General features: G+C 36.0%; 1 protein-coding gene and 1 non-coding gene across 11 annotated transcripts in view, besides 1 other annotated feature; both read left to right on the top strand.

Moving 5' to 3' along the window:
- Positions 1–22878, top strand: part of SLC35F5 (solute carrier family 35 member F5) — a 53961-nt gene that overhangs the window by 28155 nt on the left and 2928 nt on the right. For 4 of the 10 annotated variants that reach the window (XM_047445926.1, XM_047445923.1, XM_017005027.2 and 1 more), the window contains 4 exons: positions 2951–3110; positions 5294–5384; positions 9180–9334; positions 10638–10735. In XM_047445926.1, coding sequence (XP_047301882.1) covers positions 2951–3110; positions 5294–5384; positions 9180–9334; positions 10638–10713 — 482 coding nt within the window. In that variant the 3' untranslated portion in view covers positions 10714–10735. Of the gene's footprint in view, positions 1–2950; positions 3111–5293; positions 5385–9179; positions 9335–10637; positions 10736–13292; positions 21780–22878 lie in introns of those variants that run through there. The other 6 variants (NM_025181.5, NM_001330315.2, NM_001330314.2 and 3 more) reach the window with 3 other exon arrangements.
- MIR4782 (microRNA 4782) lies at positions 7120–7198 on the top strand. The gene has a single exon (NR_039943.1). It is a non-coding gene; the product is annotated as a microRNA 4782 (primary transcript).
- Positions 18910–19540: an enhancer, noted in NCBI's record as "OCT4-NANOG hESC enhancer chr2:114466525-114467155 (GRCh37/hg19 assembly coordinates)". NCBI's record gives its function as "activates a minimal SCP1, AML or CMV promoter by ChIP-STARR-seq in primed H9 embryonic stem cells {active_cell/tissue: H9 hESC(primed)}" and the evidence as "EXISTENCE:reporter gene assay evidence [ECO:0000049][PMID:30033119]".

The raw sequence follows: 22878 nt of genomic DNA, 5'->3' as shown, positions 1-22878 counted from the left end.
TTGAGCATTTTGCATTAGAATTTAATTTATAGTAAAGATTTTTCTTATGGCTGGGCATTGTGGCTCACGCCTGTGATCCCAGCACTTTGAGAGGCTGAGGCAGGAGGACTGCTTGAAGCCAGGGATTCAAGATCAGCCTGGGCAACATAGGGAGACTGCATTTCTATTTAATTTTTTTTAAAAAAAGACTATTTTAAAACTATTTTAAAACTAAAAATAGATTAAATACTTGTACCTAAAGACTAACAAAAATAAAATGTTTGAAAAGCCATGAGGCTGAATGATTGCTTAAATTCTTTTTAAATATAGAATTCAAGAAATATAGCATAATAGCCAGGTTTGGTTACATGTGTTTGTAATCCCAGCTGCATGAGAGGCTGAGGCAGGAGAATCACTTGAGTCCAGGAGTTCGAGTCTGCAGTGAGCTATGATTGTGTCTCTGCACTCTAGCCTGGGTAACAGAGTAAGATGCTGTCTCTTAAAAAAGAAAAGATAATTTTAATGATATTTTATTTGAGAGTCATAGAAAATTTTATTTGGAATGGAATAAAATGCTAGTTTTTTTTAGTGTTATAGGTAGGTGGTTGGGTCAGTGGTACTTTTTAAAAATTTATACATTGACAACTTGCAAGAAAAATTGCTTAATTTACTCATATTAGGGAGAGTGCATATAGACATGTGGCTTGTGTTGGTCCTGTTCATATGTGATGTGATATGTAAAGCAATATTGATCTGCCCTGGGCTTTAGAATAGACAGGATTCGGAGAAGTTAGGATTGGGATGTTGGGGGCTCTTCAGGCAAGGGAGTGTGAGCAGAGGCTTAACAGGGAGCAGTGAGTAGATCTGAATGATTGTGCTGGAACTTCGCTTTGTGGAAGAAGAACAGAAAGGCATGTGGCGCCAGATTCTGGGCAGTCGAGGGAATAGGTGGGGTCATTGGGACTTTTGTCTCTAGGTCAAAGGATGTTAATTTACGTGGGATTTCATAGACTCAGCACTTCAGGGACTAGAAAATAGATTTAGATCTTGGTAATGCCACGTTTTGGTGTTTCATTAAAACAACTTTGTAATGTTATTTAAGCATTTTAGGTCGTGTCCTTGCTGTATATGTGTTCTTTTGTTGTTGTTTTTTTAATCAATAGATGTAAGTTGGTGTATTAGTCTGTTTTCACACTGCTATAAAGAACTACCTGAGACTGGGTAATTTATAAACAAAAGAGGTTTAATTGACTCACAGTTCTGCATGGCTGGGGAGGCCTCAGGAAACTTACAATCATGACGTAAGGTGAAGGGGAAGCAAGGCATGTTTTACACACTGGCAAGAGAGAGAGAACTTGAGAAGGGGGAACTGCCAAACACTTTAAAACCATCAAATCTTGTAAGAACTCACTATGATGGGAACAGCATGGGGGAAACCACCCACATGATCCAGTCACTTCCCACCAGGTCCCTCCCTGACACGTGGGGATTACAAGTCAAGATGAGATTTGGGTGGGGACACAGAGCCAAACCATAATAGTTGGGCTCCCTAAAACAGGATATGAGATGGGGAATTTGTGTGGGTGATTTTTTGTGGGGAGTTCACTGAAGGAAAAACTTGCAGTGAAGGAAGCAAGATAGAGAAGGGGAAAGAACCGTGTGGCGCACAAGTATAACTGAGGTTTGGCCCAATTCATTGCAGGTACTGAGGCGGGGAGCAGAGGGAGAGCAGCTAATATGTCTGGGCCTTGAGTCGTGATGGCTGGCCTCGTAAAGCCTCCATCAATTAGTCATGAGCTGCAGAAGATGGGGTGGAGTGGAGGGTGGGAACTTGCTGGGAAAGGCAGACTTATTTGCCCCCCTTCACAGAAGTGGGGTGGCTGTGAGTCTTTAGCATCAGACAGAGAGTGGGTGCTCCTGCCCTGTTAAGATTTAACTAGGCATCCTAATGACTGGTTTATTATTTAGGTGACATAGTAAGTATCAATTATATATCTACTGTAATTTAATTTTCTTTTAAGAAAGCTATATAGTTACATAAATCATATAGCAAATTTGTGACATAAACTGTATAGGAAGTACAACAAAATTTATTATAGAATTGTAATCTTTTTTCTTTATATTCTTTACTTTTACATGTATATAGTCATATATAAACTTAATTTCTATAATAATATTAGCTAACTTTTATTAAGTGCTTACCATGTGCCAGATACTATGCTATATTTTATGTGTTTTGTCTAATCTTCCCAGCAACCTAATTAAATATTATTAAATGTTATTTTATGCTTATAGATTGGAAAACTGAGGCTTAAAGAGGTATAAGGCTTGCACTACTATTGAGTGATATATAGAGCTGGGATTGGACCCAGGCAGTCAGATGGCCGAGCACACACTTAACCACTAGTCAGTCTGTACTTTGCTCATACGTTGAATAGCTCTTTGTGTGTACATACTTTCTCACTAACTAGTTAGAGGTCTGGGAATGCAGGAACCAAGAGTTTTATCTCCTTTGGAACCTTCTTCCATTATTGCTCGCAAAGCACAAGTGTTTTGGACATAAATAATTGAATCAGAGAGCAAACCATCTAATTCCTCAAAATTAATTTAGGCTGAGTACACAAACACATACATACCAGTTATTTCTTTTAAGTTCTAGGGCACTATATTATCAGTAGCTAAGGTTAACAACCCTTCTTGTTGAGTTGTCCTAAGTGGTTTATTCCATAGTAGTTGCTCCCATACAATGTGGGTAGTTGAACTGAGTGATCACCAGTTGCTTCAGACAGTTTTTTTTTCTATGGCGTTGAGCTATTCACAGGACTGACTTAAAAACAAACCAACAGAAGTTTTAGCTAAGGAAACCTCCCAGAGTGCTTTTGTGCAAAATCTAATTTTGATTTTAGAGTTAATAAGCTTGGAAAATAGAAATAAATCAATTTTAACTCTTGTCTCTTTTATACATGTTCAGGTTTTGTAGGTTTGTTTAATCTGCTGCTCTTATGGCCAGGTTTCTTTTTACTTCATTATACTGGATTTGAGGACTTCGAGTTTCCCAATAAAGTAGTATTAATGTGCATTATCATTAATGGCCTTATTGGAACAGTACTCTCAGAGTTCCTGTGGTTGTGGTATGTACTGTTTATTCTCCAATTATTATCAGTTGATTAATTTTTGGATATTTTAAGCATTTATATTTGTCTGTTTGCTGGTGGCCCTTCCTGTGCACCCCATTCTGCAACACACATACAACTGAATACTTTAACTCCACTAGAGCAGGGACTTTGTTTTTTAACTTCTGTGTGCCCATTCTAGAGTAGTACCTTGTCCACAGAAGGAGCTCAATAAATACTTGTTGAATGAAAGAATGAATATGAATGGTCTAAATCTGTAAAAATGTTTTAGAAAGTGGAGTGTTATGCAAATGAAAGTAGTCATTATCTAATGGATATCCAAACATATGAGGTATGTATGCCAAGTATGAGTGCATGAGTTCTAGTTGAGAATCCAGGAGATGCTGCTTATTTAAGAGGCTTTGGAATATCTGTTTGCTTGTTCATAGGTGTTTTTGTTTTATTTATTTTCAGAACCTTTCATATGGGTGAGCCAGATATGTAAACCTTAAACTCTGATTGATTTGAGATGTTAACATACTTTGATATGCTGTATATCCAATATACTGATATGCGATAATAAACTTAAAATAGTATGAAGACAGTATCATGTATGGAGTTTGAGAGACCTTTCAAATAACAGAGCTTTATACTTAGTCCTATTTTTATTTAATAGAAACTTGAAATGAATAGAATGAATAAAACCTAAGTGAATAAAATGAGTTTTATTACATACCCATTGAAACTGCTAACTAGTTTTCCCTTGCAAAAGACTGCAACAGAAATAGACTTTTTTGTGGAGTCTTCCTTAATGCTCTGCCTACAGTGCTGTCTCCCTGCCCAGTTAAGAAATACCTATTTTCTTGGTATCCCCCATATCACTCTCTTTTGTGTAATACTTAAAGATTTACTTTGTATTGTAGTAATTTATGTTCTTATCTAAACTCCTTTGCTGATCTAAAATTCTTTAAAATCATAATCCATTTGCTCATTAATTTTTTCATCTTTAGTTATGTACATTTTAGATACTCGATTTTTTTAACCTTAACTATTAACAGATGACAAAAGGCTTTAGCCTTTAGCTAAATTGGATCCACCTTAACAGCTGGATTAAGTCAAACAGGCTTTATAATTCTACCTCCCAGGTTTTTTATTATAGTACTCTGCATGATAAACATCCAAGAACATATGCTGTATTTGACCCCGAATGCTCTTTTCACAGAGCAGCTAAGTAGTGGGAACCACAAGTACTTGTTTCCTTTACCTCATCAATAAGGACTCGTTGTTCAGCCTCTGTTCATTACTTCTAGTGACACTTTATTGAGAGATAGCCCCTTTTATTGCAGGACAGCACTATTAATTCTGACATATACTGAGCTAGATTTTACTTGCCTATAACTTCCATGGATCTGTAGTCCTAACAATATACATTATGGTTTTATCTTGGCTTATAATTCATTTTCTCCTTATATGCCCAAATTATCAGTCTTTATAAATGGCTCATCTGTCTCCATTGGGTATAATATTTTCTTTCAATTCAACAAAATTGTATGCAGATAGATATTTCAAAATTTCATACCCACATTGTTAATTCAAGGTGAAAATAAAGAGCTTACTTAGCTTTTGGTTAGGACAATTGTTAGAAAAATGGAAAACAACAAGAAAATATTTTTTAAGAATATTCAAGTCTTTCTTTTTTTATGCCAAGCCAAATCAAAAGAGTAACACATGATTTTAGTGTTCATGAAGGTGAGATATTTTTGCTTGGTGACAGAATCACATGTTGGCTTATCACTTCCTTAAAGTCTATGTGTGAAGTATTGTCCTGCAATGTTAATAATGCTGTTTTCTTTGTTATCTACAAATCATCACAAAACGGTAATAACTGTTCAACAGTTTTTTAAAAAAATTAATGAAATATAAGCTATACACCCAAAGTTGAATAAGATCTGCAAACAGCTCTTGAAAATAGCATAAAATATTTTGAGCTTTTTATACTTATATATTTGTATTTTTAATATTTGAAGAAAAACTGAGAATCATCTTAATAACTTTATTATATTTTATGTTTCAATCCATCCTAGCCTCTTATCTTTGCTCCTGATCTCACAGGCCTATATTATAGGATAGAAAGTCTTTGTTCAGTGTTTTTCTTTGGTTTAATTTTTTAAATATAGAAATGTATATTTTCTTTTTTTTAGGGGCTGCTTTCTTACCTCATCATTGATAGGCACACTTGCACTAAGCCTTACAATACCTCTGTCCATAATAGCTGACATGTGTATGCAAAAGGTAAGGAAACTATTTATTATTCATAGATATTTTAGGTGTGTTATTAAAACAAACCTAATGAAAGTTGAGATGTGATTAAATTATAAGGATACAAACATAAATAATACTTGATGCTTTCTCTCCCAAGGTGCTTTACTACATAGAAATATAGAAAGTACCGAAGAAATAGATAATTTCCATTTTTAGCTTTTCCATTTTTTTCCCTAAATTTCTAAGTTAAGGGCATCATCTTCATATGTAGTTCTCCAGTTTTTGAGCTGATTCTGTTCCAGATGTTCTTTGGTAAGTCACATTTTATCATACAAGCATTTTAGTTTCTGCGATAAACCCTATCACAGGCTCCTTAACACTGTGCTGAATGAGCAGCACAGGAATCATGCTGTTTGCAGTAAAAGTTAGCCATCTCTCTCTGGACTCAGCAGAGTGGGTATCCCATCCCTTTTCTCTGAAGGCCTAGTATGGATGTGGGGATTCTTGTGATAAATATTGGCAATGCTAACACCGCAGAAAAGAGAATCTGGGATGTTTCTGCCAGCAGCCTAGAAGGGAAGAGTTTATTCAGTGCTCTTGGGTGAAGCAGGAAGAACAGAGGTATGCTGTTGCCCAGCACTGAAAGATGGAGCATAGCCATTTATCACACAGTTCAGTATATGTAGGCATTTAACTTTTAACTGCAACTACTAAGTCACAGAAGTATGTGTGTGTGTGTGTGTGTATGTATGTGTGTTTTAGTCTAATATAATTTGAAGAGGGAAATACTTCAAGGCCCAAAGGCTTATAATGTGTACAAGCAATAATCAAAATTTTAAACCTATTTTTCTCTAGGTCTTAGCCAGGCACAGTGGCTCACGCCTGTAATCCCAGCACTTGGGAGGCCGAGGCAGGCAGATCACTTGAGGTTAGGAGTTCGAGACCAGCCTGGCCAGCATGGTGAAACCCCGTCTCTACTAAAAATACAAAAATTAGCTGGGTGTGATGGCGTGCACCTGTAATCCCAGCTACTTGGGAGGCTGAGGCAGGAGAATCACTTGAACCCGGGAGGCGGAGGTTGCAGTGAGCCAAGATCATGCCACTGCGCTCCAGCCTGGGCAACAGAACAAGACTCCATCTCAAAAAAAAAAAAAAAAAAAAAGATAAAAGCAAAATATGCTTAGTGCTCTATATCCTCTTTATTTATAAAATAATTCTTTACTGATATTTAACTTTGTTTTATGGTCAGTAAATTCTTATTTGTCATGGTTAAAGAACTGAGATTCTTTCCTTAATTGAGAATTAATTATCTTACATAACTTGCATTTTCAAAGAATGTGGATATTCCATATAACACTAACATTGCACATTATTACACATCATTCTTTTATAGATTTAAGTAATATCTAGGCCCTTCTTCATCTTCAGGTCATAATCCTGAATATGAACCAAACTGGTTGTGAAACTGGGAAGGTGCTACTTGTTAGAGGATTTTGGTAGACTACTGTGTAAATCATCTTTATTGTACTGATATTTTAAAAACAAAAGCTTTCGTAGATTGAAAAAAATTGCAGCTTAATGTTCAGGAATTTTTAAGAAAATAGTCACAGGGGACCTAATTGTATTAAATGATTAGTCATTTCATAATTATCATTACAAACAATAATGGTTATAATTTGTTTAATAAAGTATTTTAGGGTAAAGACAAAACGGGGAAATGTATGCACATGCAATTAATTATAAAAACATAACCAAACTTTAACTGATTGCCCAGTTCTGGATATGAAGACAATCAAGAAAAGATTTGGTGTTCTTGATTGTCTTCATATCTAGAACTGGGCAGTCAGTTAAAGGAGCAGGCTGTGTGTTGGTGTCAGGATTGAGGTTAGGGAGATTCCATCTGGAAAAAGCAGCAGTGTGTGTCCAGAACTGTAACACAAACATAAGAGAAATCTACTTTTATAGGGTTTTTAGGTTTAATTAGCTAACTGTATTTATATATAGCTTCTGAAATGTTAGCATTTATTAACATTGTGCTTGAAACAAATTGGTTATTTAAATCTATTTATAATCATTTTATATAATAGAAAGCATCCTTGATCATATTCTATTTGATATTCAGATATATTTAGGAATTAGAAAAAAAAATTTTGTTTACATAGGTAATTTTCTTTGTTGTAATAAATGGCTTCGTTTCTTTTGTCTTAGCTTGTTGGAAATCAAATTAGAAGTTTTTTATTATGAGACAACATATAAACAGCTACATTGTGGAAAGTGAACTTGCCTTCTAAAGTCTTCTAGGGCTTTATCTATCTTTATTAAGTTTGCTTTGATTCAGTTATGAAATAAGGTTTTTAGTTGAATATTCATGAAATAATTCTATCAACTATATCTACATTTTTAATCGCATTATTTATAACTTCTTAATACCTTTTCTGATCTTGGATAATTTAAATGCAGCATGGTTTTTCCTGATTATTAGTCATTCTGGCAAATATTCCAGGAATATGTTAAAATATATTGGTAATTTCATAACTAAATGAAGGCTTTTCAGTTTAATGACTATTCTTTCCGGGGTCTTCTTAGGCTGACTCAGTCATTGTATATGAATACCATAGAAATAGGGCATGCATGTTAAAAATTGTCAGTTATTATTCTTGTGTTATGCATTGTGAGTTCCCTCATAAAAGACATTATGCTCACAAAACTCGTTTACTCTGACTAATGGTGCTATGAAATGGAATAGTATATGTTTTCCACCAGAGGGAGTCTTACCTATGATTCCATGCCCTTTTTTTTTTTTTTTTAATTCTCAAAGAGGGCAAACACAGTTTTCCTTTCCTATTTTATAGATAGAAGTTACTATTTTCATCATTATTTTTAAAGCAAACCTCCTGTGTGTTACACTTAAGTCTCAGTGGTTGATCAGTGTAGGCTTCTTTGACAATCGTTTCTGATCTTTAGCTGAGTCTAGATGGTAAAAGTGAACTAGTGAAAGGGAAGAATGAGTTTTGTTTTGGATGGCATCTCATTATTTTTTATTTTCTTTTTATTTATATATTTGTTTTTCTTATTTTTTTTTCTTTTTGATTTTAATACCTCCACCCTACTTACAGATATTTTTTATTTTCTTGACAACTCTGATAAATGATGGATTGGAGGATCAGACTTGTTGACATCACTGATGAGGCTTGTCTTGTTGCTTGTCTTCTCTGGCTAACATTCCTTAGTAAAAATATTTCTATATTTTTTTCTTTATTTTATTTGGTCATTATTTCATTTTGAGCTTTTTTCATTTATTACTAGATAAGCGAGTTTTGAGTGTCAAATTTGCACTTAATTTGTTTTTGGTACTGTCATAAGGACTGTAGCATACACAGCATACTACAACTGTAACTTTTTACGAAAATATACATTTTTTGAAGATGACTTCAGAAACTGAGGGAGAGAGACCCACTTGAGACTAGGCAGCAAACAGTGAAGAAGAAATGAGCAACATGGTGTGCAGGAGCAAAGTTTCCTACTGTATATCTCTACTCTAAGTGTACAATGCCTATAAATGGAAAGTATGCTTTCTTGGCTTTCCTTTAGCCTATTTTCCAAGCAAGAACTATTGTTGTTGGTAATTTAGGTGCATGGAATAGTAAGTTGAAGTCTTGAATTCTTATTTAATAATAATACACTTAATACATTGTCAGTGTTTAATTTTGTCTTCCCATTGTTCTTATTCCTGCTAGTTTTCACAAATAGAAAACTTACATTGAAGGGGAAAATTGCCTTAATGATAATTGTGGGTGTGTTTTTTCCTCTATCTTTTATTTTTAGGTGCAGTTTTCTTGGTTATTTTTTGCAGGAGCTATCCCTGTATTTTTTTCATTTTTTATTGTAACTCTCCTATGCCATTATAATAATTGGGATCCTGTGATGGTGGGAATCAGAAGAATATTTGCTTTTATATGCAGAAAACATCGAATTCAGAGGTAAGTTTAGTCCCAATACACATTTTTAAAAATAGTGTTTGCTAGATAACTGAGAATTGCATCATGCTGGCCTAGCTTTTAGAGATTTTGTGAGGAATTATTGAAAGATGATAACTTATATGTTACGGCAGATGAAAATAAAATAATTGGTTTAGATCTTTTGGGTAATAAGATTCTTTCTCCTTTCTTTCTTTCTTTCTTCCTTCCTTCCTTTCTTCCTTTCTTTTTCTTTCTTTCTTTCTTTCTTTCTTTCTTTCTTTCTTTCTTTCTTTCTTTCTTTCTTTCTTTTTCTTTCTCTCTCTTTTTCTTTCCTTTTCTTTCCCTCTTTCTTTCTTCTCTTTCTTCTTTTTTTCTCTTTCTTGACAGAGTCTTGCTCTGTAGCCCAGCCTGGAGTGCAATGGCACGATCTCAGCTCACTGCAACCTCTGCCTCCTGGGTTCAAGTGATTCTCCTGCCTCAGCCTCCTGAGTAGCTGGGATTACAGGCATGCACCACCATGCCCAGCTAATTTTTGTATTTTCAGTAGAGGCAGGTTTCACCGTGTTGGCCAGGCTGGCCTTGAATTCCCAACCACAAGTGATTTGCCTGCCTAGTAACTACATTTTTTTAAAAAAAATATGATTCACAGGTAATACCAAAAGGTTTACTGTTTTGCCATAACAAACTTAAATATAGAAAACTTTTATTGGTTTGAACATAATTCATGATAGAATAGTATTGCCTCAGTTTTTCTTTCCAATTTCTTTCTTTTTAAGAATGAAAGCTTTTTACATTTTGCTATAAAAAGAACTTGGTTCCAGTGACTCTGGAGGCTGAGGTGGGAGAATTGCTTGAGGCTAGGAGCTCAAGACCAGCCTGGGCAACATATCAAGACCCTGTCTCTAAGAAAATTAAAAAAAAAATTACCCAGACATGATGGCATATACCTGCAGTCCCAAGCTACTTGGGAGGCTGAGGTAGGAGGATCACTTGAGCCCAGGAATTCAAAGCTGCAGTGAACTATAATAGCACCACTACACTTTAGCCTGGGTGACAAAGTGATACCCTGTCTCTTATTTAAAAAACAAAAAGTGAGACCGTATCTCTTATTTAAAAAACAAAAAGTGAGACCCTATCTCTTATTTAAAAAACAAAAACAAAAAACGCTAACTTGGGACAAGTTCTTGGGAAATTTTATCCTAGTGTTGGTTCTGCCACTGACTTGCATCCTGTCCACATAGCTTCAGGCAATGGAATAAATAAGGTTTGAGGTTCCTTTTCAGCTCTAAAGCTTTCCTTAATTACTGCTTTTTTTTTTCTTAAGAGTTCCAGAAGACAGCGAACAGTGTGAGAGTCTCATTTCTATGCACAGTGTTTCTCAGGAGGATGGAGCTAGTTAGCTGTCTGTTGTCTGTAGCCCAGGTTTGTATGTGAGCTGGGTTTAGTATTGAATAAGGTTCTTATCTGTGTAATATTCAAAGGATTGATTTTCTATAATTAGTTGTTTGAGAGGCAATACAGCCTTAGAGGCTAAAGGGGCTAAAGCCTGGACTCCAGTTCCGTCTTCTCCACATACTAGCTGTGTGGCCCTGTGCAAGGTTCTTAATCTCTTGATGCTCCAGCTTTCTTATTTGTGAAATGGGATTACAGTAGAACCTCCCTTATGAGGGTGTTAAAATAGTAAATACTTGGTAAATATAAAGTATGTATAATAGTGCCTGACTCAAATGATCAGAAAGTTTTAACTCATTTTTATTCATGCTAAGGGTCATTTTATTTAATAATATGCTTTAGAAAAATATTTTTTCTCTGATGATAAAAGAAAAATGTAATATTCTGGTGTACAATATACTGGTTGGAAAATACTAGTCTTTATGTGTCTGTTTTACATAACTGGCACAGTGTTTATCCTCATTCTCTGACATTGCTTTGTCATTTAACAATGCTTCTGGAATTTTTTTCCATTTTTTCCATTTTAAGAAATAGTGTCTTTTATATGTCTTCGATGATAGAGTACATGACATTTAATATTTTGCTGAATGAAAGCTTGAATTAAATGTAACGTACAGATTTTGCAGGTACAAAAGTGATTATTTAGAATGAAAGATCACAAAAAACTACTAGAATTTTTCTAGTTTTTCTAAGACATCTTTAGGCAATTTATATTGAAGTGTTTCTTGATTGCTACTGAGTTTTCCCTCCCTATCTAGAACATTGTACAACTCCTGTCAGTTGTTAACACTTATATTAGGCTTGAAGGTTAAGTTTCATTATCCTCCTGGTAAACTTGCTTCTAACCTACAGCTAATGGTCCTGGTTTTCTGTTTTTCTTTAGTGTGCTGTTTTTAAATCTAGTTTATACCTGCACATGGTTTGAGCTCTAGTTCTCCAAGACTTTTTGTACAAGGCAGTTACCCCTGCCCTTCCCTGCCCTGCTCATCCTGCTTTCATTTTCTTCCCACTCTGAGGAAATTAAACTCTTAGCTGATTCTTTTGGTATTTTCCTTCTTGTCTCCCTAAGTATCATGCTTATGACTTGTGTTTCATGAGTTCTCGGTTTTAGGCATCTTCAGCTGACTTTCCCACTAAGATCAACGAGGACAGATTATTTTCAAGTTGACTCCTCCTCTGCTCCCACCTCATAGGCCTCCTGTCTCCATATCAGTTCTGCCTCCTCATCATCCCTGTGTAGTTGTTGCATAACTTTGGATAGATCTGTAGTCAGTGTTTATATTGTTGTCACTAAAAAATTGTTACTTATGACTGAGCTATGTAGGATTCGTCCTGGTATTTCCCTTATCCAGAGATTCTCTGTTACTACCCTTTTTGGAGAGTAAACCTTAAAGTCTTCTCCTGGGGTAGAGAAAAGGCACTTGGCCAACTGTGAAAAGTAAGAGAGGGCATCTGAGTGTCTGTCTGCTTTTTCTATAGACATTATACCAGTCTTCATGTTTTTAGTTGTTTCTTCACCCCTCCTTACAGAGATATCTGGTCCTGTTTTTCCATTGCTAACCAAGAGTTGGCTGTTATTTTCTCATCTCTCTACTTTTCTTTTTGTCCATGTGGTTTATTCCTTTTAAGAAAAAAATTCCAGGCTGGGCATAGTGACTCATGCCTGTAATCCTAGCATTTTGGGAGGCCAAGGAGGGAGGATAACTTGAGCTCAGGAGTTTGAGACTAGCCTGGGCAACATAGTGAGACCTTATTTCTGTTAAAAAATATATTTTTTTAACCCTTTGTTTCCTTTTTAGTGAGGTTTTGGAGAACAAGTGGAACTAAATATATGTTTATGTGCCATCTTTAAATTTAAAAAAACGTAAACACAATTACAGTAAGTCCTCACTTAACATCATCAGTAGGTTCTTATAAACTGTGACTTTAAGCAAAATTACAGCAAAACTTTTTTTTTTTGCATCAACATTATAACATAACAACACTGAACGAAAAAATGTTATTCGGGGACCTAAAGTCAGTTTCCTAGAACCTATGACATTAAGTGAGGACTTTGTATTCTTGAAAGCTTTTTAATGCTGTAATTTATGCATTATTTTTCTTGGGTATGCTGTGCATTGTTCTCGTACTCACACTTAAACCTACCCATATCCAGCAAGGTTTCAGTATTTTTAGAAGTGAGAGCTGTGTAAAGGAGAGAGTGAAGACTAGGGAGGATGGATTGCAATAGAGTAGAATAGACTGGGCAGGTGACTTTGTCTTTGCAGGAGTAATGGTGGAATATACCAGGAGTACAACTAACTGCTAATACACAGTCTTTAGTGTTGATGTCAGCTTTTGACATTGCTATAGAAGTCACATTCATAAGTTCTTAGTACTCCAAATTTGAGTATCCAGTTATTAAGTATGTATACAGTGAAAATAGGTATTTCAATTTTAAGATAATTTGCTTTTTAAAATGTAAACTATAGAAAACTAAAACTGTGAAATTATAATCTAATCACATTTCTGTGGTTTCTGTTTTTAGCTTGATAATGGAACTATACAGCGAAGAGACAATCTCTGGCAAGTTTTTGTAGAAAAAATGTTTCAGTGCCTAGTCTGAAAAATAACAGTTTGAGTTCTTTGAAACTCTAAAATATATTTTTCTCATACCTGTTTTCTTCATTTTCATAATGAAGCACTTTGCTATGTAGCTGTGTACATATCACTACAGTTATAGGAAGTTTCAGTCTACAGTCCATCCAAAGGACCAACCTGCCTTACACATCTCAAGGAATTCAGCTGTTGAAATCATTTGAACTAATCAAGGAATAAATCCTAATGTTCTGGGACTTTATTTTCACATGTTAAATGCTGGAATATATTATGAAAATGTTTTCAAGAAATCACTTAAGTGTTCATAGACCAGTATTTCTGACAGGTAAAATGCTAAAATAAGCTACCTGTAATAAGTGTGGATTATATTTTTGGGTTTTGTAGAATATTGCAAATTAACCACACAAAAAATGTTTAATTTATGCAACAAGCATGTTTGTGCAAATTTCATGGGACTTTAAAAAGAATAAGTATTTGAGAAAATATCTGGTTCACTTACACTACATTTACTGTATTATTCTTTTATAGCATTAGGTGCCTTGTATTTTAAATCTGTGACAAACCATGGCAAATTTTTAAAGGGGAAGTATTATTATAAAATGAAGAAATATGTATTTCTAAAGGCTATATTGCTGTAAACTTAATTGATAAAGCTCTGTTTAATTTAGAGTTTTGAAGAAATAGTCTCCCTTCAATTAAGAAATTTTCATAATGGAATGATTTAAATTGAAGTGACAAAGAGTATTATTAAAATACAATGTTTATACGTCTATTTGTGTATTGTAGATGTATCAAGTGATTTCTAATTTTTTTCACATATGAATGTGCCAGATTACTCTAGAACTAGATGTCTCTTCTTTAAATAATTTTAGTTTTCCTGAATAAATTTGTAATGGTTAAAGTACCAAGTAAGTAAGGCGAGAAGGGATTCTGTTTTTAAAATCACATCAGAACTTTTCCTCTACTAAGATTATAAATTAAATGTAAAATACTCCTAATTGCAATTCTTAAACTTAGGCCTTACATGTACTTATTATGCAACTGCTCCTGGACTCTATTCACCATAGATATCAGTAAACGTATGTCCCAGGATTCACAGGCTTTTGATTAATCAATATTCTTTTCAAGTTTGCTGTGAAGAGTTTAGTTCTCTTCAAAATTTCTTAACTAATCTGATTTTTAAGAATTCTCTTTGCAGTGTTTAGCTTCCTATTCACATTCTTAAAATTGCTTTGGTGTTACCATGAGTCTAAAATGAAGTTTAGCCTTCCTTTTGTTTCATTCTGAGAACTTCTATATTATATTACCTTTAAAAATTGTTTATGATATTAAATTTAAAATACAAACAGCTCTCTTTTTTTTTTTTTTTTTTTTTAATCATCCAGCCCAAAGTGGCAAAAACAGCTCTTTTCTCATTTGGCACCACCAATAACGCAAGTTAAAAATAATGTTGAGTTTATTATACTTTTGACCTGTTTAGCTCAACAGGGTGAAGGCATGTAAAGAATGTGGACTTCTGAGGAATTTTCTTTTAAAAAGAACATAATGAAGTAACATTTTAATTACTCAAGGACTACTTTTGGTTGAAGTTTATAATCTAGATACCTCTACTTTTTGTTTTTGCTGTTCGACAGTTCACAAAGACCTTCAGCAATTTACAGGGTAAAATCGTTGAAGTAGTGGAGGTGAAACTGAAATTTAAAATTATTCTGTAAATACTATAGGGAAAGAGGCTGAGCTTAGAATCTTTTGGTTGTTCATGTGTTCTGTGCTCTTATCATCACACAGGTCATGTGTTGTTACTCAGGATTCTGGAAGTACTAAGCCGTAGTTAACAGGCTGGATAGATCTTCAGCCAATCTTCTTTCATTATACTGCTGCTTTTCTGTTTCTTAAAAAACAAAAATCAATGAACAACTTCTTCAGAAGGAAGCACCACTGTTCAATTGGTTAACTGAAAGTATGAATCACTGCCGCTTTGCTTGCCCACCTGTTTGCTTTTTCTCACAGGTTTTATTTATCTGAATGATTGTTGCATTTGAATACTGTAGCCATGGTGAGTGAGCAGTTGAAGACTTCCTTTCTGCACCTTCATAGTTAAGGGTTCATCTTCTCAAGAAATAAAGTTGTGCTGGGTTGTTTCAATTCTGTAGATCACCTAGAAACTAGGTAACAAGGCCCTTGGATCACAATGAGCACATTGCAGGTCTTTGGAAATGCTGGGAAGGGGTTACATTCAAGTAACTGCTGACGTCCTTCCTCTCTGTCAGACCCATGTTGGCCTGTAATTATATTTTTCTGAATCTAAAAACAAATAGAAATTTCTGATATCTTTTCAGTCTCCTTCTTTTCTTTCCATTCATCACTTAAATCTCATTATTGTATAACGTTTCAAATTATGACCTGGATTGAAGGAAGTCTGTTTTGTCAGGGACTTTGTTAGGTGAACATCAGAATCTCAACTACAACAAAGCTGAAAAATGAGGCAGCCTTAACAGTAAATGCTTTTGGGCCGGGCGTGGTGGCTCACGCCTGTAGTCCCAGCACTTTGGGAGGCCGAGGCGGGCGGATCACGAGGTCAGGAGATCGAGACCATCCTGGTTAACACAGTGAAACCCCGTCTCTACTAAAAATACAAAGAATTAGCCGGGCGTGGTGGCGGCGCCTGTAGTCCCAGCTGCTCGGGAGGCTGAGGCAGCAGAATGGCGTGAACCCGGGAGGCGGAGCCTGCAGTGAGCCGAGATCGTGCCCCTGCACTCCAGCCTGGGCGACAGCGAGACTCCGTCTCAAAAAAAAAAAAAGTGAATACTTTTGAAATGAATGCTTTTTGAAGCTTAGAAGAACCATTAGGTTTATGTAATGCACCCATACTTATTCCTTTAAATAAATTTTAATTTAAAAACATTGAGATATTGGCTTCTGTCAACCTGATTTAATTAATTCTTTACATTAAGCTGATTTTCCCCCTGGCAGCTGACAAATAAGTTCATTGTTCTTGTAGAAGTGAGCTCACAAGGTTAAATGTGAATGTTCTCAAAGGTACACAGCCTTGTTTCAGAAGAATTTTAATGCCCGCTGTAAAATCAATCATGCAGAGCCAATTTGAGGTATGACTCCAGGGTATGCAAGGTATGACTTCTCTGGAAGCCAAGTCTTTTCACAGGGCACTGTGGTAATACCCATAGCACTAATCCTCAGTGTGCTGGTTGAAGAAATAAAATGTTTTTAAAGAAGGATAAAGGAGGAATTAATTAGAAAATTTTTTTCCACATATTAGCAAATAAATGAAATGTCATTTTCATATTAAGTAAGTATAGTTATGATCTTCGTTTCTACCTACTCTCCTTTTGAAATATTCTTTATTACTAAATAATATTTTAGGAGGAGTTAACAGAAATAATTACCTGTAACATCTGCAGATAAACTTACATAGCTAACATTGTGTGCTGACTTTTTTAAATGGTGAAGTGGCATTAATGAGATGTTCAGTTTACAGAATTTGAAGTTTGAGTTCTATTTTAATAGTCTGCCGTGTCCCCCAAATCCCATTTAGATAAATTGAGGTTGATTTTTCACATAGACTTGCAATTTTTAGACACCACATTTTTTTTATAGTAACAGCCTCATTTGCCTGTACAATAACTAATAATACAGTATTTCATAGGTACATTGTATGTGCACAGGAAATTTTTCTTTAAATCTTAAGAGCCTTTAATAAACGGGATATTTTAATATTTTAATGTTACTACATTTAAAAAATAGTGTTTTCCTACAAAATTTTCTGTATTCAGTATACGTTAACTATGAAAATGTCAAACAATGAAATCATTGAAATATATTTAAGGAAAAATTACCAACCAAAAGTAATGAGTACCCTCTATGTGCATATTTACTGGAATGTTCATGTGAAATGGTAACATTTCCAATAACAGCATTTTGAATCTGGGGTGACACAAACATGATTTTTATTTTTGAGCTAGGGATTTTGATGGAGAAGCACCTAGATGAAGACACCATTTCATTCATGATATTTTAAAATTAGAAAAGTAAAGCTTCTAAATTGAAACTCTTAACAGGTCACTTCATGAAATTTTTAGTTTTAAATTTAATTTTACATGAGATGTCTTTCTGAAGAGCTACTTTTATTAACTTTCACTTAGATCGTTGTATGCTAGGCATTCAGTATTTCTCTACTTGATTTTCCTATGCCTAGTTGTGATTACAGCAAGTATTTAATAATAAAGTCAGTCATGTGAGAGTATCCATTAATTTCAGTGGGTCCTTGGAAGGCAGGCAGAAGATTTCTGTCCAAGAGTCTTATTTTTGACATGAGATGAAATTCTTTTTTTTTTTTTGAGATGGGGTCTCACTCTGTCACCCAGGCTGGAGTGCAGTGGCAGGATCTTGGCTCACTGCAACCTCCCAAGCTCAAGCCATCCTCCCACCTCAGTCTCCTGAGTAGTTGGGACTACTGGCATGTGCCCCCATTCCTGATTAGTTTTTTTGTATTTTTGGTAGAGATGGGGTCTTGCTATATTGCCTAATTTTTGTGTTTTTAGTAGAGATGGGGTTTCACCATGTTGGCCAGGCTGCTCTTGAACTCCTGAGCTCAAGTAATCTGCCCGCCCTGGCCTCCCAAAGTGCTGGGATTACAGGCATGAGCCACCATGCCTGGCTAAAACCAATTCTTTAGATTGTTTTTGCCACCATTTGCTTACTTGGAATAGCTTTCACATTTATTTTTCTTATGAAGAAATCCAGTGTCAGTCAGACCATGTAACATCAAAGCAAAATTTCATTGAAGCCTATCCTTGTCTTAATTATTCTAAAATAAAGTACAATAAAGTGAATTATTTTGCCCTTTGTAGTAGCATAGTGTTAAGTTATATATATATTTTAATATGCATACTCCTAAGTAAAGTTTCAGAGACCACATGCTGGAGAGCAGTGGCTTTCAGACAGCATCAGCATCACCTGAAGGCCTTGTTGAATACACATTATTGGAAGAGAGGGGAGAACACAGGCTCATGCCTGTAATTCCAGTGCTTTGGGAGACTGAGGCAGGAGGATCACGTGAGCCCAGGAGTTCAAGATCAGGCTGGGCAATACAGCAAGACCCCTGTCTCTACAAAAACAAAAACAAAAAACAAACAGGCATGGTAGTGCATACCTGTAGTCTGAGCTGCTTGGGAGTCTGAGGCAGGAGGATCACTTGAACCCAGGAGTTCGAGGCTGCAGTGAGTTATTATTGGGCCACTGCAGTCCAGCCTGGGCAGCAAAGTGAGACCCTGTCTGTTAAAAAAACAAAACCAAAAACTTGATTGCTGGGGGCCACCCTAGAGTTTCTGATTCAGTAGGTCTGGCGGTGGGGATGGTGGGCCTGGTAATTTGCCTTTCTAACAAGCGTCCAGGTAATGCCCCAGCTGCTGGTCCCAGGACCACACTTTGCAGATTATTACTCTGAGAAGAGCACTAACTCTGACGTTGGATTCCTTCTGTTCCTCATTAGTGAATTTATTTGGGGGAGATTATTCAATCTGGTAGATCCGCATTTACTTAGCTGTGAAGTGGAGGTTAATGCAACCTGCCTGAGACTGTGAGAATGAGAAACTCTAATTGAAATACCAGGCCCAGCGTGCCTGGATGCTTGAAAAATGCTGACTCCCATGGTCCGTCCTTCCCTCACTCTTCTCAGCTATAAAGTGAGAAGCGAAATTCAGTATCTTTTAAGATTCCTCTCAGGTGTAAAATGCTGTGATTCTAAAAGTTTAATTTTGTAGTTCCAGAGACAATGCCAAACACCTGTGTGTGCTTAGTGCTTTGTAAAGAGTGGTAATAACAGTGACACCACATAGGCCGTAGTTTTGTAGTTCCAGAGACAATGCCAAACACCTGTGTGTACTTAGTGCTTTGTAAAGAGTGAATAACAGTGACACCACATAGGCCATAGTTTTGTAGTTCCAGAGACAATGCCAAACACCTATGTGTACTTAGTGCTTTGTAAAGAGTGGTAATAACAGTGACACCACATAGGCCGTAATTTTGTTTTTGCTTTTGTTAGGGTGTTCAGCATCTTGACTCCTTAAATAAGGTTTTCAGTCAGATTTATAAAGCAGCATTGAAGAAGTTGTATTATATTTGAGTACAGTTGGAATCCATGGCAGTTTTATGGAGGCCAAATATATCAGATGAATAGGCTAATTTCCCTGAGTTGCTGGCCTTATTAGTCCCTACTCTGTTGCCCCCTGGTTACCTAATGCATGTTCAAAAGGTATAGTTTTCATCACCTGCTTGATCTTGATTTTCAGACAGCATCAAATCAGTTGCAAAACAAATCCAAGCTAAAATTTTGAGTGTATGATTAATTTACTATAGCATGTAATTATGCAGTATTTTATTTTTTATTTTTTATTTTTTTTGAGACAGAGTCTCACTCCATTGCCCAGGCTGAAGTGCAGTGGCACGATCTCGGCTCACTCTAACCTCTGCCTCCTGGGTTCAAGTGATTCTCCTGCCTCAGCCTCCCGAATAGCTGGGATTACAGACATGCACCACCACGCCCAGCTAATTTTTTGTATTTATAGTAGAGAGGAGGTTTTACCATGTTGGCCAGGTTGGTCTTGAACTCTTGACCTCAAGTGATCTACACGCCTCGGCCTCCCAAAGTGCTGGGATTACGGGTGTGAGCCACTGCGCCCAGCTATCCAGTATTTTATTTAAAAGTTGTCACTAGGGTGTTCACTATTGTGAATTTATAATCTTAAAAGTTGGGGATGCTAAAAGTACCAGACTAAAATACTACGAGGTTTTCTCATCTTTTAATTCCATTTTGTTAGAAAAAAATAATCACAACCGGGGTTCTTTTACCTTTCCCCAGCCATCTAGACTGCTTTACTGCAATGTTGGGAAGATTGCATACAATAAAAACTGTAGCTAGTTGATTGGGATTTGGGAAAATTGAATCAAGCATTTGCATTCATCCAGAATGGTCTTAAACTGCTGACTGTGGGGTGCCCACAGGATGAGCACTGGTGGCATGGGTGGGAGGAATTTCCTTGGATACTGCAATTGCATTTGAAAGATCTATTTTCCAAAACCTGAGCAGAGAGAGGCTAGGAGGAATGCAGACAGGACATTGAAAATGCGAATTCCCTTTACTAGTAGAACATGAAATATCTGATAATGGTTTAAAAAAAATAAGTGCCAGGATACATTGTAGTATAAAGGTTCAACTAGTATAATTTAAAATGAGTCTTTATATTCAGGCCAGGTGCGGTGGCTCACACCTGTAATCCCAGCACTTTGGGAGTCCGAGGCGGGTGGATCACCTGAGATTAGGAGTTCAAAACCAGTGTGACCAACATGGAGAAACCCCTTCTCTACTAAAAATACAAAAAATTAGCCAGGCATGGTGGTGCACGCCTGTAGTCCCAGCTACTTGTGAGGCTGAGGTAGGAGAATCGCTTGAACCCAAGAGGCAGAGGTTGCAGTGAGCTGAGATCACACCACTGCACTCCAGCCTGGGTGACAGAGCGAGACCCTGTTTCAAAAAAATAAGAAATAAAAAGTGAGTCTTCATATTCAAATTAGTATATGAGGTTAGGCAACAATTCTTATATGGGACCAGGTATATTTAATTTGCCTTTCTTTGCAGTCATCCTAGTAAATCCTTGTAAAGGGTTATTTTATATACAATTTTGTAGTATATTCTAAATCCCCTTTGGCAAATAAAGCTGAAGTTATCTAGTGTCAGCATACTGTGATTTGTATATTTATATAAGACAAGATTGCATCATTCTGATTAAGTTGCAGCATTTTAGTTTTATCTGATAGGCCTGTATTGAGTAATCAGTAGCTATGTGCAAATATTAAGTCAACTTAATTACCAGACCCAGAAGGCCAGAGGTAATCAAAGAGTACTTTCGGAAGATGAAATATTTATAATGAGTTATGGAAACAATGTTTTAGAAATGTTTTTCTTGGTGTAATTTAATGCAGATTTTTACCTCAATTTTGTTAAAAAACTTGATAATTTGATCCCTCCATCTATTTAATATTTAATATTTTCAGATTCTAGAGTATTTAAAATTTAAACACAATTATAAAATTAATTATAATTCCTACTTATGTTAGCTATGATTTAGGGCCAAAACTACCCTGGTTTTGTCTTGCAACTTGAAACATTGTGTATTTTAAACTATATAATTTGGGAACATTATTTTATAGACTGTGGATAACCAAATATAAGATTTGTGATTTTTAATGCTTCATTTGTGTAAAATCATTTGTATATTCTATTTATAGTATGCATTTTCTAGCTCATTAAAAGTACAGAAAAACCTCAAATCTGTCCTTATACAAATATTTGATTTCTAGTTTCCTTTTATTAAAACATTTTCACTCATTCATTCTTTCACACCTTAGTCTCTAAGATGTGTCTCGGGTATTTGATAAAGTAGGTCTTCTTGTGGAGCACATCACTCAGCTTTGGAGACCAAACATTAAACACACTGAGTTGCATCTTATGCATGTTAAGGTCTAAAGCCAAAAGGTGAAATTTTTGAATAATCAAATTGCCCTTGGGAGGGTCCTGAATAAGAGACCTACATTCCATCTCATGATAAGTCCCTTCCATTGAACTTTTCCTCCAAAATTGGAATAGAAATTAGCAACAGCAGAAAGCCAATGCTATCCCTAGGATGGTGGGGTGGAGGGAGGAAGCCGTCATAAAGCTCAAGGCCAGGGTCACCCAGAGGAAGCACAACCCCCGCAGCAGAGCACAGGGGCCTTCAGGGTGCTGCAGCTGGAGGCAAAGAAGGAGGGAAAGAAATACTCTCGCTTTGCTTTGCTTTTTGCCATTGACTCCCGGTGGCAGGAGCTGACTGGAAGCCAGCTGGCACAGGAGCTTGGAGCTTGGTGGTATCCCTCTGGTGTCGACTCCCCTGACTTAGAGCAGAGCCGCAGACCTCAGGTCAAGCAGGCTCAGAATTGGCACATTTGCACTGGGGACCATATTGTATGGACAACACTTACTTTCAACAGTAGAATCACAGCCTGCGAAGATGTCACAGTACAAGAAATATTCTGGAACCAAGATCACCTTTATCCATGTCAAGTCCACTCCAGAAAGTGGAATTAGGGGAAAGTACCTGCCCTGGACTAGTATTTCGAATCCCTTCCCTCCTCTACTTACTCCCCTTTCCCTTTTTCTTCTCCCAAGCTGAGCTAAAGGGAAATGTGAAGAACATTATTGCCTCTTTAAAACCAAACATATATAAAACATGAAAAATATTTTTCAGTGACAAAAGATAAGAATGAAAGCATTCAGGATAGTGTATTCATAGAAGCTTTGGGAAAGAGTAAAAATAATTTCTTAAATTTTTTTCTTGAAAGACTGAAAATAGAATCTTAAGGAGATAGTGTTCTTAAAGCCTTGATCTGACTACTTGACTACTTATAACTTCTTTCTTCATCTACTAATTATTTTGAAAAGTCACTTAGTCATTTGTCAATCC

The sequence above is a fragment of the Homo sapiens genome, chromosome 2, assembly GCF_000001405.40.
Source record: "Homo sapiens chromosome 2, GRCh38.p14 Primary Assembly".
NCBI lineage: Eukaryota > Metazoa > Chordata > Mammalia > Primates > Hominidae > Homo > Homo sapiens.
Note: the sequence above shows the minus strand (reverse complement) of the source record. Positions and strands in the feature narration are given on the sequence as shown.